We start from the raw sequence: 16,843 nt of genomic DNA, 5'->3' as shown, positions 1-16,843 counted from the left end.
AGCATCTGTTATTTTTTGACTTTTTAATAATGGCCATTCTGACTGGTGTGGGATGTTATCTCATTTTAGTTTTGATTTGTATTTCTCTAATCATCAGTGATGTTGAGCTTTTTTTCATATGATTGTTGGCCACATGTCTGTCTTCTTTTGAAAAGTGTTGCCAGGCGTGGTGGCTGATGCCTGTAATCCCAGCACTTTGGGAGGCTGGGGCGGGTGGATCACCTGAGGTCAGGAGCTCAAGACCAGCCTGACCAATATGGTGAAACCCTATCTCTACTAAAATTACAAAAGTTAGCCGGGTGTGGTGGCGTGCATCTGTAGTCCCAGTTACCTAGGAGGCTGAGGCAGGAGAATCACTTGAACCCGGGAGGTGGAGGTTGCAGTGAGCCAAGATTATGCCACTGCACTCTAGCCTGGGTGACAAAACGAGACGTCATCTCAAAAAAAAAAAAAAAAAAAAAGAAAAAAGAAAAGTGTCTGTTCATGTCCTTTGCCCACTTTTTAATGGTTTTTTTTTCCCTTGTAAATTTAAGTTCTTTATAGATGCTGAATATTACATTTTTTTTCAGATGCCTAGTTTGCAAAAATTTTCTTCCATTCTGTAGGTTGTTGTCTGTTTGTTGACAGTTTCTTTCACTGTGCAGAAGCTCTTTAGTTTAATTGGATGACACTTGCCAATTTTTACTTTTGTTGTAATTGCTTTTGCTGTTTTCGTCATGAAATCTTTGCCCATTCCTATGTCTAGGATGGTATTTTCTAGGTTGCCTTCCAGGGCTTTTACAGTTTTGAATTTTACATTTAAAGTCTTTAATCCATCTTGAGTTGATTTTTGTATATGGGGTTAGGAAGGGGTCCAGCTTCAATTTTCTGCATATGGCTAGCCAGTTATCCCAGCACCATTTATTGAATAGGGAGTCTTTTCCCCATTGCTTATTTTTGTCAGCACTGTTGAAGATCAGATGGTCATAGGTGCATGGCCTTATTTCTGGGATCTCTATTCTGTTTCATTGGTCTATGTGCCTGTTTTTGTACCAGTACTATGCCGTTTTTGTTACTGTAGCCCTGTAGTACAGTTTGAGTAGGGTAACATGGTGCATCCAGCTTTGTTCTTTTTGGTAAACAGATCTTTATAGTAGGCTAAATGGTGACCCTCAAAAAGATATGCCCATCCCCTAATCTCTAGAACCTGTAAATATGACCTTATTTGGAAAAAGGGTTTTTTTTTTTTTTTTTTTTGAGACATGGCCTCACTCTGTCACTCAGGCTGGAATGCAATAGTGTGATTATAGCTCACTGCAGCCTTGAACTCCTGGGCTCAAGTGATCCTCCTGCTTTAGCCTCCCAAATTGCTGGGATTACAGATGTAAACTATCATGCCCAGCCTGGAGGAAGGATTTTTGTAGATGTAGTTAAATTAAGGATCTTGAAATAAAATTATCCTAGATTATCTGAGTGGGCCCTAAATCCAGTGACAACGGTCCTTATAAGAGACACACAGGGAAGAGGAGAAGGCCGTGTGATGGCTTAGGCAGAAAGAGTAGTAGGCAAAAGCCAAGGAATGCATGGAGCCCCCAGGAGCTGGGAGAGGCAAGGAAGGATTCTCCCCTAGTAACTTCAGAGGGAGGGCACCCCTAACGATACCTTCATTTTGTATTTTGAGCCTCCAGATCTACAAGAGAATAAATTTCCATTGTTGTAAGCCAGTTAATTTGTAGTGGCTATCAATAGTAGTAAAGAAAAAAGAGAATGAAAGGGGAAAATAATCCAAAACTCCTTAAGAAGAGCTCCTGTCCTTCTGATATTAACACAAAAAGCAAACTAACCAGAACAGTATATCCTACTGGAAATCACTCAACCAGGAGTGAGAGAAATCTTATTGATTGGTAACTTATGTGATTGTTATTTTTGCAGGTTAGTGCTATTGAAGTATGCTAAATATACGACAGTGCTGCAAAAGACAGGCTAGGTGGTAGAGGAAGGAGCTATTTCACTGTTGCTATTCTTTTTTTGCCAGAATGAAGATGGTGGCCAGACAGTGGTTGAATGATATATTGTAATTAAACTATTTCTTTCAGTCGGAATCAGGAAAGACTTTAGAGAAGGAGCAATCTTTAAGCTGGATCTTGAAGCATGAATAAACATTCCCCAGGCAGAGAATAGAATGGAGTCAGGGCAGAAAACACAGCATGTGCAAAGGCACAGTGGTGGAAATATGTGTCATATACTAGGGAAAAATATATGGTTTTATGTCATTGCTCTTTCTAGAGCACAGGTACTGTCAGGCCTCTGAGCTGAAGCCAAGCCATCGCATCCCCTGTGACTTGCACGTATACACCCAGATGGCCTGAAGTAACTGAAGAATCACAAAAGAAGTGAATATGCCCTGCCCCACCTTAACTGATGACATTCCACTGCAAAAGAAATATAAATGGCCGGTCCTTGCCTTAAGTGATGACATTACCTTGTGAAAGTCCTTTTCCTGGCTCATCCTGGCTCAAAAACACCCCCACTGAGCACCTTGCGACTCCCACTCCTGCCCGCCAGATAACAAACCCCCTTTGACTGTAATTTTCCTTTACCTACCCAAATCCTATAAAACAGCCCCACCCTTATCTCCCTTCGCTGACTCTCTTTTCCGACTCAGCCTGCCTGCACCCAGGTGAAATAAACAGCCATGTTGCTCACACAAAGCCTCTTTGGTGGTCTCTTCACATGGACGCGCATGAAATTTGGTGCCGTGACTCGGATCAGGGGACCTCCCTTGGGAGATCAATCCCCTGTCCTCCTGTTCTTTGCTCCATGAGAAAGATCCACCTACGACCTCAGGTCCTCAGACTGACCAGCCCAAGAAACATCTCACCAATTTCAAATCCAGTAAGCGGCGTCTTTTTACTCTCTTCTCCAACCTCCCTCACTATCCCTCAACCTCTTTCTCCTTTCAATCTTGGCACCACACTTCAATCTCTCCCTTCTCTTAATTTCAATTCCTTTCATTTTCTGGTAGAGACAAAGGAGACATGTTTTATCCATGGACCCAAAACTCCGGCGCTGGTCACGGACTGGGAAGGCAGCCTTCCCTTGGTGTTTAATCATTGCAGGGACGTCTCTCTGATTATACACCCACGTTTCAAAGGTGTCAGACCATGCAGGGACCCCTGCCTTGGTCCTTCACCCTTACTGGCAAGTCCCACTTTTCTGGGGAAGGGGCAAGTACCCCAACCCCTTCTCTCCTTCTCTCTACCCCTTCTCTGCTTTTCTGGGGGAGGGGCAAGTACCCCTCAACCCCTTCTCCTTCACCCTTAGCGGCAAATCCCACTTTTCTATGGGGCAAGAACACCCAATCCCTTATTTCCATGCCCCAACCTCTTATCTCTGCACCCCAATCCCTTATTTCTGTGTCCCAACCTCATATCTCTGTGCCCTAATTCCTTATTTCTGCACCCCAACCTCTTCTATCTCTGTGCCCCAATCCCTTATTTCCATGCCCTGACCTCTTATTTCGGTGCCCCATCTCTTATTTCCATGCCCCAACCTCTTATCTCTGCACCCCAATGCCTTTTCCCACTTTTCTGGAAGGGAAGAACCCCCGAACCCCTTCCCTCCATTTCTCTACTCTCTCTTTTCTCTAGGCTTGCTTCCTTCACTATGGGCAACCTTCCACCCTCCATTCCTCCTTCTACTCCCTTGGCCTGTGTTCTCAAAAACTTAAAACCTCTTCTACTCACACCTGACCTAAAATCTAAATGCCTTATTTTCTTCTGCAATGCCGCTTGACCCCAATACAAACTTGACAGTAGTTCCAAATAGCCAGAAAATGGCACTTTGAATTTTTCCGTCCTGCAAGATCTAAATCATTCTTGTCATAAAATAGGCAAATGATCTGAGGTGCCTGATGTCCAGGCATTCTTTTACACATCAGTCCCTTCCTAGTCTCTGTGCCCAGTGCAACTCATCCCAAATCTTCCTTCTTTCCCTCCCGCCTGTCCCCTCAGTCCCAACCCCAAGCGTCACTGAGTCTTTCTAATCTTCCTGTTGTACAGACCCATCTGACCTCTCCCTTCCTCCCCAGGCTGCTCCTCGCCAGGCTGAGCTAGGTCCCAATTCTTGCTCAGCCTCTGCTCCTCCACCCTATAATCTTTTTATCACCTCCCCTCCTCACACCTGGTCTGGCTTACAGTTTTGTTCCGTGACTAGCCTTCCCCCTCCCGCCCAGCAATTTACTCTTAAAAAGGTGGCTGGAGCTAAAGGCATAGTCAAGGTTAATGTGCCTTTTTCTTTATCCCAAATCAGATAGCGTTTAGGCTCTTTTTCATCAAATATAAAAATCCAGCCCAGTTTATGACTTGTTTGGCAGCAATCCTGAGACACTTTACAGCCCTAGACCCTAAAAGGTCAAAAGGCCATCTTATTCTCAAAATACATTTTATTACCCAATCTGCTCCTGACATTAAATAAAACTCCAAAAATTAAATTCCAGCCCTCAAACCCCACAACAGGATTTAATTAACCTCGCCTTCAAGGTGTAAAATAATAGAAAAAAGTTGCAATTCCTTGCCTCCACTGTGAGACAAACCCCAGCCACATCTCCAGCACATAAGAACTTCCAAATGCCTGAACCGCAGTGGCCAGGCATTCCTCCAGAACCTCCTCCCACAGGAGCTTGCTACATGTGCCAGAAATCTGATCACTGGGCCAAGGAATGCCCTCAGCCCGGGATTCCTCCTAAGCCGCGTCCCATCTGTGTGGGACCCCACTGAAAATCGGACTGTTCAACTCACCTGGCAGCCACTCCCAGAGCCCCTGGAACTCTGGCCGAAGGCTCTCTGACTGACTCCTTCTCAGCTTAGCGGCTGAAGACTGACACTGCGCGATCGCCTCGGAAGCCCCCTAGACCATCACGGATGCCGAGCCTTAGGTAACTCTCACAGTGGAAGGTAAGCCCGTCCCCTTCTTAATCAATACGGAGGCTACCCACTCCACATTACCTTCTTTTCAAGGGCCTGTTTCCCTTGCCTCCATAACTGTTGTGGGTATTGATGGCCAGGCTTCTAAACCTCTTAAAACTTCCCAACTCTAGTGCCAACTTAGACAATACTCTTTTAAGCACTCCTTTTTAGTTATCCCCACCTGCCCAGTTCCCTTATTAGGCTGAGACACTTTAAATTATCTGCTTCCCTGACTATTCCTGGACTACAGCTATATCTCATTGCCGCCCTTCTTCCCAATCCAAAGCCTCCTTTGCATCCTCCTCTTGTATCACCCCACCTTAACCCACAAGTATAAGATACCTCTACTCCCTCCTTGGTGACTGATCATGTACCCCTTACCATCTCATTAAAACCTAATCACCCTTACCCCACTCAATGCCAATATCTCATCCTGCAGCATGCTTTAAAAACATTAAAGCCTGTTATCACTCGCCTGCTAGAGCATGGCCTTTTAAAGCCTATAAACTCTCCTTACAATTCTGCCATCTTACCTATCCTAAAACCAGACAAGCCTTAGAAGTTAGTTCAGGATCTGCACCTTATCAACCAAATTGTTTTGCCTATCCACCCCGTGGTGCCAAACCCATATACTCTCCTATCCTCAATACCTCCCTCTACAACCCATTATTCTGTTCTGGATCTCAAACATGCTTTCTTTACTATTCCTTTGCACCCTTAATCCCAGCCTCTCTTCACTTTCACTTGGACTGACCCTGACACCCATCAAGCTCAGCAAATTACTTAGGCTGTACTGCCACAAAGCTTCACAGACAGCCCCCATTACTTCAATCAAGCCCAAATTTCTTCCTCATCTGTTACCTATCTCAGCATAATTCTCATAAAAACACACGTGCTCTCCCTGCCAATCGTGTCCGACTGATCTCTCAAACCCAAGCACCTTCTACAAAACAACAACTCCTTTCCTTCCTAGGCATGGTTAGCGCGGTCAGAATTCTTACATAAGAGCCAGGACCACACCCTGTAGCCTTTCTGTCCAAACAACTTGACCTTACTGTTTTAGCCTAGCCCTCATGTCTGCGTGCAGCGGCTGCCACTGCTTTAATACTTTTAGAGGCCCTCAAAATCACAAACTATGCTCAACTCACTCTCTACAGTTCTCATAACTTCCAAAATCTATTTTCTTCCTCATACCTGACGCATATACTTTCTGCTCCCCGGCTCCTTCAGCTGTACTCTCTGTTGAGTCTCCCACAATTACCGTTGTTCCTGGCCCAGACTTCAATCCAGCCTCCCACATTATTCCTGATACCACACCTGACCCCCATGACTGTATCTCTCTGATCCACCTGACATTCACTCCATTTCCCCAAATTTCCTTCTTTCCTGTTCCTCACCCTGATCACGCTTGACTTATTGATGGCAGTTCCACCAGGCCTAATCGCCACACACCAGCGAAGGCAGGTTATACTATAGTACAAGCCACTAGCCCACCTCTTAGAACCTCTTATTTCCTTTCCATCATGGAAATCTATCCTCAAGGAAATAACTTCTCAGTGTTCCATCTGCTATTCTACTACTCCTCAGGGATTATTCAGGCTCCCTCCCTTCCGTACACATCGAGCTTGAGGATTTGCCCCCACCCAGGACTGGCAAATTAGCTTTACTCAACATGCCCCGAGTCAGATAACTAAAATACCTCTTAGTCTAGGTAGATACTTTCACTGGATAGGTAGAGGCCTTTCCTACAGGGTCTGAGAAGGCCACCACAGTCATTTCTTCCGTTCTGTCAGACATAATTTCTCAGTTTAGTCTTCCCACCTCAATACAGTCTGATAACAGACGAGCCTTTATTAGTCAAATGAGCCAAGCAGTTTTTCAGGCTCTTAGTATTCAGTGAAACCTTTATATCCCTTATGGTCCTCTGTCTTCAAGAAAAGTAGAATGGACTAAAGGTCTTTTAAAAACACACCTCACCAAGCTCAGCCACCAACTTAAAAAGGACTGAACAATACTTTTACCACTTTCCCTTCTCAGAATTCAGGCCTGTCCTCGGAATGCTACAGGGTACAGCCCATTTAAGGTCCTGTATAGATGCTCCTTTTTATTAGGCCCCAGTCTCATTCCAGACACCAGACCAACTTAGACTGTTCCCCAAAAAACTTGTCATCCCTACTATCTTCTGTCTAGTCATACTCCTATTCACCGTTCTCAACTACTCATACATGCCCTGCTCTTGTTTACACTGCCGGTTCACACTGTTTTTCCAAGCCATCACAGCTGATATCTCCTGGTGCTATCCCCAAAATGCCACTCTTAACTCTTGAAGTAAATAAATAATCTTTGCTGGCAGGACTATGCTGAATCTCCTTAGGCACTCTCTAATCAGATATCCTGAGTCATCCCAATTCTTAGACCTTTTATACCTGTTTTTCTCCTTCTGTTATTCCATTTAGTTTCTCAGTTCATCCAAAACCATATCCAGGCCATCACCAATCATTCTATACAAAAAATGTTTCTTCTAACATCCCCACAATATCACCCCTTACCATGAGACCTCCCTTCAGCTTAATCTCTCCCACTCTAGGTTCCCACGCCGCCCCTAATCCTGCTTGAAGCAGCCCTGAGAAACATCGCCCATTCTCTCTCCATAGCACCCAAAAATTTTCGCCACCCCAACACTTCAACACTATTTTGTTTTATTTTTCTTATTAATATAAGAAGGCAGGAATGTCAGGCCTCTGAGCCCAAGCCAAGCCATCGCATCCCCTGTGACTTGCACGTATATGCCCAGATGGCCTGAAGTAACTGAAGAATCACAAAAGAAGTGAATATGCCCTGCCCCACCTTAACTGATGACATTCCACTGCAAAAGAAGTGTAAATGGCCGGTCCTTGCCTTAAGTGATGACATTACCTTGTGAAAGTCCTTTTCCTGGCTCATCCTGGCTCAAAAAGCACCCCCACTGAGCACCTTGCGACCCCCACTCCTACCCGCCAGAGAACAAACCCCCTTTGACTGTAATTTTCCTTTACCTACCCAAATCCTATAAAACAGCCCCACCCCTATCTCCCTTCACTGACTCTCCTTTAGGACTCAGCTCGCCTGCACCCAGGTGAAATAAACAGCCATGTTGCTCACACAAAGCCTGTTTGGTGGTCTCTTCACACAGACGGGCATGAAAGGTAGTACTAGTAAAAAATAAATTTGGGCGAGGCACAGTGGCTCATGCTTATAATCCCAGCACTTTAGGAGGCCAAGACAGGAGGATCACTTGAAGCCAGGAGTTTGAGATCAGCCTGGGCAACATAGCGAGACCCTGTCTCTAGAAAAATATTTGAAAAATTAGCTGGGCATGGTGGTGCGTGCCTGCAGTCCTAGCTACTCAGGAGGCTGAGGCAGGAGGACTGCTTAAAGCCAGGTGTTGGAGGCCAGCCTGGGCAACAAATAGATACTCTTCCTCTACTTAAATTAAAAAAAATAAAAAGAAAAAACATTTGGAAAACTGGGTAGGGACTGGATTGAGACAGCACTTCATGATTTGCCTTGGCATTTGCCCTTTTTCCTGTGGACAATGGAAAGCCATTAAAAAGGCAGTGCCATGGTTAGATCTACCAAACATGGTAGCATCCCTTCCAAGCTGGAATGTTGAATGAGGTGAGGAACACGCTGGGGCCAGTATAGGTCTCAGAGTGAGCTAGGTCGGAGGCATGGCCTTTTCCCTGCTGGGAGACTCCTGCTACCTGTGCTTGAAGACACTAAGGCATGCTGGCTGTGGTCAGAAGGGGAGTAATTAGCTGGCTGATGATGCATAATGGGGCGTGGTGTTTCCCTCCTAATGAGGAACGTTAGACACCCATATGTGGAAAAGAGTTTTGAACTAGTGTAAAGTTTAGATGTGATACACACACATGTAGTATGTACGTCTGTAATACTTTTTAGAATGTCAATTTATTTTCCTCCCATGCTGAAAAATTTTGGAAGATTCCCCTTAGTATAACAATTGTTGGGAAACTTTAGTATACTTAAGAATCACCTGCCAGCCTGGGCAACATAGAGAAACCCCACCTATACAAAAAAATACAAAAAATAGCCAGGTGTGGTGGTGTGCACTTGTAGTCCCAGTTACTCAGGAGGCCGAGGTGGGAAGATTGCTTGAGTCCAGGAAGTCGAGGCTGCAGTGAGCTGAGATCGTGGCACTGCACTCCAGCCTGGGCAATGGAGTGAGCCCTTGTCTCAAAAAAAGAAAGAATGACTTGGTGAAGTTGTCCAAAATATAGATGTTCAGGCCCTCCTCTCTGAAGTAGTGTCCAGAAACTCATATTTTTAGCAAGTCACTCTGTTGATCTGAAGCAAGGGATATTTGCCCACTGAGTTACAGGATAAAGCCCAAGCTCCTTAATGAAGTGTTCAGGGTCCTTTATCTCTCTCCAGTCCTGAAATGTGTGCTGTTGCTTCACCAAATTCACCACTTTGTTTTAAACCTACCTGGCTCTATTGTGTTTCAGATGTTTCTCCCCACCCCTCTTCTACATTCACCCCACCCCTTATTGGGAACTCCCCTCTCTGTGAAGTGGGTTTCAGGCCCTTCCTTCACCCTACTCTATAGATAGGCAATTGCTACACTATGTCTCCACGCATTCTAGCTCATTTTTTGTGTGCCATTATTTTGTTGTATGCCTGTCTCTCTCATTAGTCTTTGAAATCTGGGGTGGAAGAAATCATGAGGTTTTAATCTTTTTATGCATATTGTTTAGCAAACTGCCTGGCATCTTGTATATGCTCAGTAAATGATTAATGGATGAGGAATGTGGGGCTGTACCTGGAGTCAGATAGAAGTGATTAAAGAAAAATACATCTCATTTTAGTGTTGTGGAAAGAAGAGCCAGAACAGACCTTTTGTCTTCTCTTCAAGTGAAAGCAATCACATAAAGAATCCCAGTCTTGTGGTCTGAAGGAAGCATAAGGATTTCTTACCCATTCAGTGAAATCCTTCCAGAGGAATTAGCAAAGGGATAAAGCATTGGCAGACTTCTATTTACTTGTCTTTTCTTAGTAGTTAACATTAATAGTCTAGTGAAACAGGGTTTTGGGTTCAAAATATCCTTTTGCATCTCTTAATTTCCTAACCTTTCAAAGCACAAAACAAACTACTTTCTCCAATACAAGTTTTCCAATTCCTGATTCCTGCTTTCACTCATGGGTCCTTCTGAACTTCCATAGCATTGCTTCTTCCTTTTCTTCCCTCATTCCTTACACACCTGTCTCCCAGAACTAGATGATAAAATCAAGGCTTGGGCCACATGTTCTTATTTTCTCCCCACTTTTCCTCTCAAATAAGGATGGGAGAGGTTAGGAGAAGAGACTATTCTTTCCTCTTAATTTTGTACACAGTAAGTGCTCAATAGACATTTATTGACCACGCCCCTGCCAAAAAAAAAAAAAGCTACATGTTGTGTTATATTTACCTGGTTCCAGCCTTAGGAATGACCACTATTGTCTGAAGTCGATTAATATTACTGTTTTAGTTATTACTAGTCTGGCTAAAAGAGATAGAAAGGCTTACCAAGAAATGTGTTACCAGTGAGCTGGTAGTGGTGAGTTGGTAGAAATCTATACTTGAAATAATGCAGGCCAGGAGTGGTGGCTCAAGCCTGTAGTCTTAGCACTTTGGGAAGCCAAGGCGGGCACATTGTTTGAGCCCAGGATTTTGAGACCAGCCTGGGCAATATAGTAAGACCCCATCTCTAAAAAAAAAAAAAAGAAAGAAATAATGCCCAAAGAAGATGATGATTCCTGCCATAAATGCGGTGGATTATGGGTTATTTATTTATTTATTTATTTTGAGACAAGGTCTTGCTCTGTTACTCAGACTGGAGTGCAGTGGTGTGATCGCAGTTCACTGCAGCCTTGACCTCACTGGCTCAATAGATCCTCCCACCTCAGCCTCCCTAGGGGCTGAAACTATAGGCACATACCATCCATGCCCAGCTAATTTTTGTATTTTTTTGTGGAGACTGGTTTCGCCATGTTGCCCATGCTGGTCTTGGACTCCTGGGCTCAAGCGATCTGCCCACCTTGGTCTCCTAAAATGCTGGGATTACAGGCATGAGCCACTGCACCCAGCCTGGGTTCTTTTTAAATAATGATATACATGGGTACATTTAGCATTGTTGCTTGTGCTCTGAGTCTTTTATAGTCTTTCTGGAACATGGCTTCCTTAGGTTCTTCCCTGTTTCCTCACACATTTGCTTCTGCTTTCTGTTCCTTCCTTTGTAAGGTTCTTTCACCACCCTGACTTATGATTCCCCCACCCTTTTTTTTTTTTTTTTTTTTTTTTTTTTAGTATTTATTGATCATTCTTGGGTGTTTCTCAGAGAGGGGGATGTGGCAGGGTCATAGGATGATAGTGGAGAGAAGGTCAGCAGATAAACAGGTGAACAAAGGTCTCTGGTTTTCCTAGGTAGAGGTCCCTGCGGCCTTCCGCAGTGTTTGTGTCCCTGGGTACTTGAGATTAGGGAATGGTGATGACTCTTAAGGAGCATGCTGCCTTCTAGCATCTGTTTAACAAAGCACATCTTGCACCACCCTTAATCCATTTAACCCTGAGTGGACACAGCACATGTTTCAGAGAGCGCAGGGTTGGGGGTAAGGTTATAGAATAACAGCATCCCAAGGCAGAAGAATTTTTCTTAGTACAGAACAAAATGGTGTCTCCTATGTCAACTTCTTTCTACACAGACACAGTAACAATCTGATCTCTCTTTCTTTTCCTCACATTTCCCCTTTTTCGACAAAACCGCCATCGTCATCATGGCCCGTTCTCAATGGTCGCTATCTCTTCGGAGCTGTTGGGTACACTTCCCAGATGGGGCGGCCGGGCAGAGGCGCACCTCATTTCCCAGATAGGGCGGCCGGGCAGAGGCGCTCCTCACTTCCCAGATGGGGCGGCCGGGCAGAGGTGCACCTCACCTCCCAGACGTATTCCCCCACCCTTTGTGAGCTCATTTAACTTTATCTTCTAGCTTCACTTTGCATTCTGTAAGCTTACCTAAAAATACTTACTGAAAATGCTTACTGAATAAGTTAATCAGCAACGGCCTTAATATTTGCTTCCTGTTGTTGTCTGTATTGTTTTGGGTCTTAGTTCTTTGTGTTAATGTTTAACTACTTGCTTCATCCACAAGGATTGTTTGTGTCTAACCCTTCTCTACGGTTCCAGGATCGGAAAATCAGCTGCGAATATTTTCCTTTTTGACACACCCGTGCTCCTTTCAAGATCCATCTGGGTTCTGGGGCTCATCCCCCACCAACACACTCAGTCCCTATGCCTCTTCACTTCTTTGCTTTTCTTCTTAGCACTTGTGCTGTATAGCACACTATGTATTCTTTACTACTTTGGCCTACTTGTCAGTCCCTGCCTTTACGATGGGATGCTTCATTAGGGCCAGAAACTTTGTTTTGGAAAGTTTGTGCCCTAGCACCTAGAACAGTGCTTGGTTTATCTCACAGGTACTCAAAAGATATTTGTTGAACAAATTGAGTCTGGTAAATTCATATTTGCCTCATGAAACTTTCTGTCTGGTGGCTCTTAATTTTAGTCCTCCTATATTGAGAGAAGACCAAGCAGAAGTACATGAAGAAAATGAACCAAAGCCATTTCCATGCCACTTCAGGGCCTTTGCACTACTGTTCCTGCTGCCTGGAACATTCTTTCTCCAGATAGCATCTGTCTTTCTCCCTCATTTTCTTGAAAACTTTTCTCAGAGAGACCTTCTTGGAGCCCTCATATAAAATAGCATGGGCCCTAGATTCCTCTGGACCTACCACACCAGCCCTGTCAATAAATCTTCCTTGATGGTTTTTCTATACTACTAACCCTATCTATTTTGTTTTTAGAAAATAAAAAATCTCACTCTGTTGCCCATGCTGGTCTCGAACTCCTGGGCTCAAGCACTCCTCCCACCTTGGCTTCCCAAAGTGCTGAGATTACAGGCATGAGCCACCGAGCCTGGCCCCATACTACTAATCCTATCTAATTTATTATATTTGTTTATTTTTATGTCTCTCTTCCTTCACTATGATAGCAGGGACTTCGCCTATTTTATTTCCTACTAGTGCTTAGAACAATGCCTGATACAATACATATTTGTTAAATGACTTAATATACAAGTCAGAACATGTAATAAGGAGTGCAAACATCTATATTTTTTTAAAAAAATTTACTCCTTTTAAAGGCAAATTATGCTCACTCATAACAATTATTACTAAAATAAGTGAGAAAGCTACTTCTTTTCATCCTCTTATCTTCCAACCTAATTTACCATGAATTTTTCCCTTTACCTTCTTCTTTGCCTTCTAATGACTTTATTTAGCCAGTGTTTTCATTTTCCTATCATCTTTACCCTCTCTATCCCCTATTTCCTCAAGTTAGGACAACACATTTTAAAGCCAAAACATAACCTGAACAGCAAATTGGGTTTTGCCAGAACCTATGTATTCCTAGAGTATTATTTACAACTACAGAATACATTTTATATTTTTCTATGTCTGTGGATTTTTTCTAGTTCTGTTGTTCTTTTAGTTTTATTCTCTTAATTTTAATTAAAGGTCATGGTTATAATGATCTTGAATTGTCTCTGATATTTTCTACTTGCTTTTTTGTTTGTTTGTTTTTTACAAATCGTTCCATTATTTTTTTTTTTTTGACAGAATATCGCTGTGTCACCCAGGCTGGAGTGCAGGGGCACAGTCACAGCTCACTGCTTCCTTGACCTCCTGGGCTCACATGATCCTCCTGCCTCAGCCTTCTGAGTAGCTGGGACCACAGGCATGCACCACCATGCCCGGCTACTTTTTAAATTATTTGTAGAGACATGTTGTCCAGGCTGGTCTTGAACTCTTGAACTCAAGTGATCCTCCTTCCTCAGCCTCCCAAAGTGCTAGGATTACAAGTTTGGGCCATTGTTCTAGGCCCATTGAATTATTAAACTGGTCATCTCTGTTCAATCCCAGCAAGAGCTCAATAGATTTTTTTTTTTTTTTTTTTTTTTACTGTGATGGCTGTATTTAATGTGATTCCAAGTTACTTCTCATTTATCATCTTCCGCCTTTTACTTTTCTTTATCCTTAACTTGTTTTAAAAATCTTTGATTTGGCCTTATATAAAATGACTTCCACCCATCCAGCCCCTAGTGACTGTCCCAATGAAATTTAGTGGATAATCTATCAAATCTCTTCCTCCCTTAAGAAGACTTGAAAGTGAGAGAAGGACTAGGGCTTGGTTTTTGCCTTACCTTAGCACGGCTGCCCTCCAGGTACTTCACTGCTTTGTTTCTCCATGCATTTCCCATTGGAAACAGAAGACTGCCCACCATGAGGAAGGTGACTGGTAGCCTCTTCTGCCCGCTCCAAGGGAGTCTAGCACCAACCAACGTAAATCAGGTAACTCAGTTGCTCTCCAGGCCCTGTAAACTCTGCTTTTTGCTGTTCCCTCTGCCCTGGCCAGCTAACTATTCCTCTTCAGCATCTCAGTAATGCTTATCTGGAATTTCCAAGATGTTCATGTCAGAGGGACAGCCCGGTTTCCTGGCTGCTGGCTTTCTCATTCACCTGACTGTCAAGGAAGTCTTCATGAGTCCCATCTAACCTGGGTCTGGCTGAGCTTTTTGATCTGTTTCCCACACCATTAATTATTTCACTCTTATATGAAATGTTTCTTTGAGCATCTGTAATGTATTAGACACAGACTCTGATTAAATAAAGACTGCGAGGATTATGTTGGGGAGAAAATGTCTTGGAAGAAGAAGAGTAGGGGTAACTCAATTAGAAAATATTACCATTAAGTTTGCCATGGAAGTTGTCTCACCTTTGCAGCGGAATCACAGTAAGAGAGGCTGTGAAGATTTGTTTGCCTTCCAAGCCACAGCAAATTCAAGATGTTTGGGACTGTGAAGAATAGTAAGTAATTACATCTGTTCCCCCACGGAGATTAGCATAACAATTCTTTAAAAGAAAAGTGTTATTTTGCGTCCTTCTCCTGAAGAAAACTAGCTTAAAGTCAGTCAGAGGCAAAATCTAGAATGGAGTCTAAGTCCTGAATTTACTTGGATTGTTGGCAATTACCTGACTGCTTTGCTGATGAGAATCTCTGCCCTCTGCCCTTGGATAGGTGGAGAACTGAGAGGTGGAACCTGCTATGATAGACAGAGATAAAGTTCTTGTGGGCATTACCAAGAACTTCTTTTTTTTAAAAATTTAACTTTTATTTTGAGTCCAGGGGTACATGGGCAGGTTTGTTTCATAGGAAACTTGTGTCATGGGGGTTTGTTGTATAGATTTGTTTCATCACCCAGATATTAAGCCTAGTACCCATTAGTTCTTTTTCCTGATCTCCCTCCTTCCACCTTCACCCTCTGATAGGCCCCAGTGTGTGTTGCTCCCCTCTATGTGTCCATGTGTTCTCTCCATTTAGGTCCCACTAATAAGTGAGAACATACGGTATTTGGTTTTCTGTTCCTGCATTAGTTTGCTGAGGATAATGGCCTCCAGCTCTGTCCATGTTGCTGCAAAGGACATGATCTTGCTCTTTTCAATGACTGCATAGCATTCCATGGTGTATATGTACCACATTTTCTTTACCTAGTCTGCTATTGATGAGCATTTAGGTTGATTCCATGTCTGCTATAGTGAATAGTGCTGCAATGAACATATGAGCGCATGTGTCTTTATAACAGCACAATTTATATTTCTTTGGGAATATACCCAGCAATGGGATTGCTAGGTTGAACGGTATTTCTGTTTTTAGATCTTTGAGGAATTACCACACTGTCTTCCATGATGGTTGAACTAATTTACGCTCCCACGAACAGTGTATAAGCATTCCTCTTACTCCACAGCCTTGCCAACATCTGTTATTTTTTGCTTTTTCATGATAGCCATTCTGTCTAGTGTCAGATGTTATCTCATTGTGGTTTTGATTTACATTTCTCTAATGATTAGTGATGTTGAGCTTTTTTTTCATATGATTTTTGGTGATATGTATGTCTTCTTTTGAAAAGTGTCTGTTTATGTCCTTTGCCCACTTTTTAATGGGTGATTTGCTTAAGTTCCTTATAGATGCTGGATATTAGACTTTTGTCAGATGCATAGCTTGCAAAAATTTTCTTCCGTTGTGTAGGTTGTCTGTTAACCTTGTTGATAGTTTCCTTTGCTGAGCAGAAGCTCTTAAGTTAAATCCCATTTGTTAATTTTTGCTTTTGTTGCAATTGCTTTTGGGGTCTTCGTCATGAAGTCTTTGCCTGTTTCTATGTCCAGAATGGTATTGCCTAGATTGTATTCCAGGTTTTCTATAGTTTTGGATTTTACATGTAAGTGTTTAATCTATCTTCACTTAATTTTTGTATATGGTGTAAGGAAGAGGTTCAGTTTTCATCTTCTGCATGTGGCTAACCAGTTATCCCAGCACCATTTATTGAATAGAGATTCCTTTTCCCATTGCTTGTTTTTGTCAGGTTTGTCGAAGATCAGATAGTGAAGGAACACAACTCAATATAATAAGAGCCATCTATAAGAAACCACAGCCAACATCACACTAAATGGGCAAAAACTAGAAGTGTTCCTCTTGAAAACCAGCACAAGACAAGGATGCCCTCTGTCATTACACCTATTCAATGTAATATTGGAAGTCCTGGCCAGGGCAATCAGGCAAGAGAAAGAAATAAAGCATATCCAAATAGGAAGGGAGGAAATCAAACTATTCCTGTCTGCAGATAACATGATCCTATATCTAGAAAATTCCATAGTCTCAGCCCAAAAGCTTCTTAAGCTGTGAACAACTTCAGCAAAGTCTCAGGATACAAAATCAATGCGCAAAAATCACTAGCATTCTTATACAT

The 16,843-nt window shown here is 43.0% G+C and overlaps 1 long non-coding RNA gene across 1 annotated transcript in view, besides 1 other annotated feature; it reads left to right on the top strand.

Moving 5' to 3' along the window:
- LOC440084 (uncharacterized) overlaps nucleotides 1–16,843 on the top strand; it is a 56,469-nt gene that overhangs the window by 16,382 nt on the left and 23,244 nt on the right. The window lies entirely within an intron of this gene.
- Nucleotides 6,962–7,956: an enhancer, noted in NCBI's record as "OCT4-NANOG-H3K27ac-H3K4me1 hESC enhancer chr12:11615275-11616269 (GRCh37/hg19 assembly coordinates)". NCBI's record gives its function as "activates a minimal SCP1, AML or CMV promoter by ChIP-STARR-seq in primed H9 embryonic stem cells {active_cell/tissue: H9 hESC(primed)}" and the evidence as "EXISTENCE:reporter gene assay evidence [ECO:0000049][PMID:30033119]".

Source organism: Homo sapiens, chromosome 12, assembly GCF_000001405.40.
Source record: "Homo sapiens chromosome 12, GRCh38.p14 Primary Assembly".
In the NCBI taxonomy this organism is placed as follows: Eukaryota; Metazoa; Chordata; class Mammalia; order Primates; family Hominidae; genus Homo; species Homo sapiens.
This window is presented reverse-complemented; position numbering and strand designations above follow the sequence as displayed.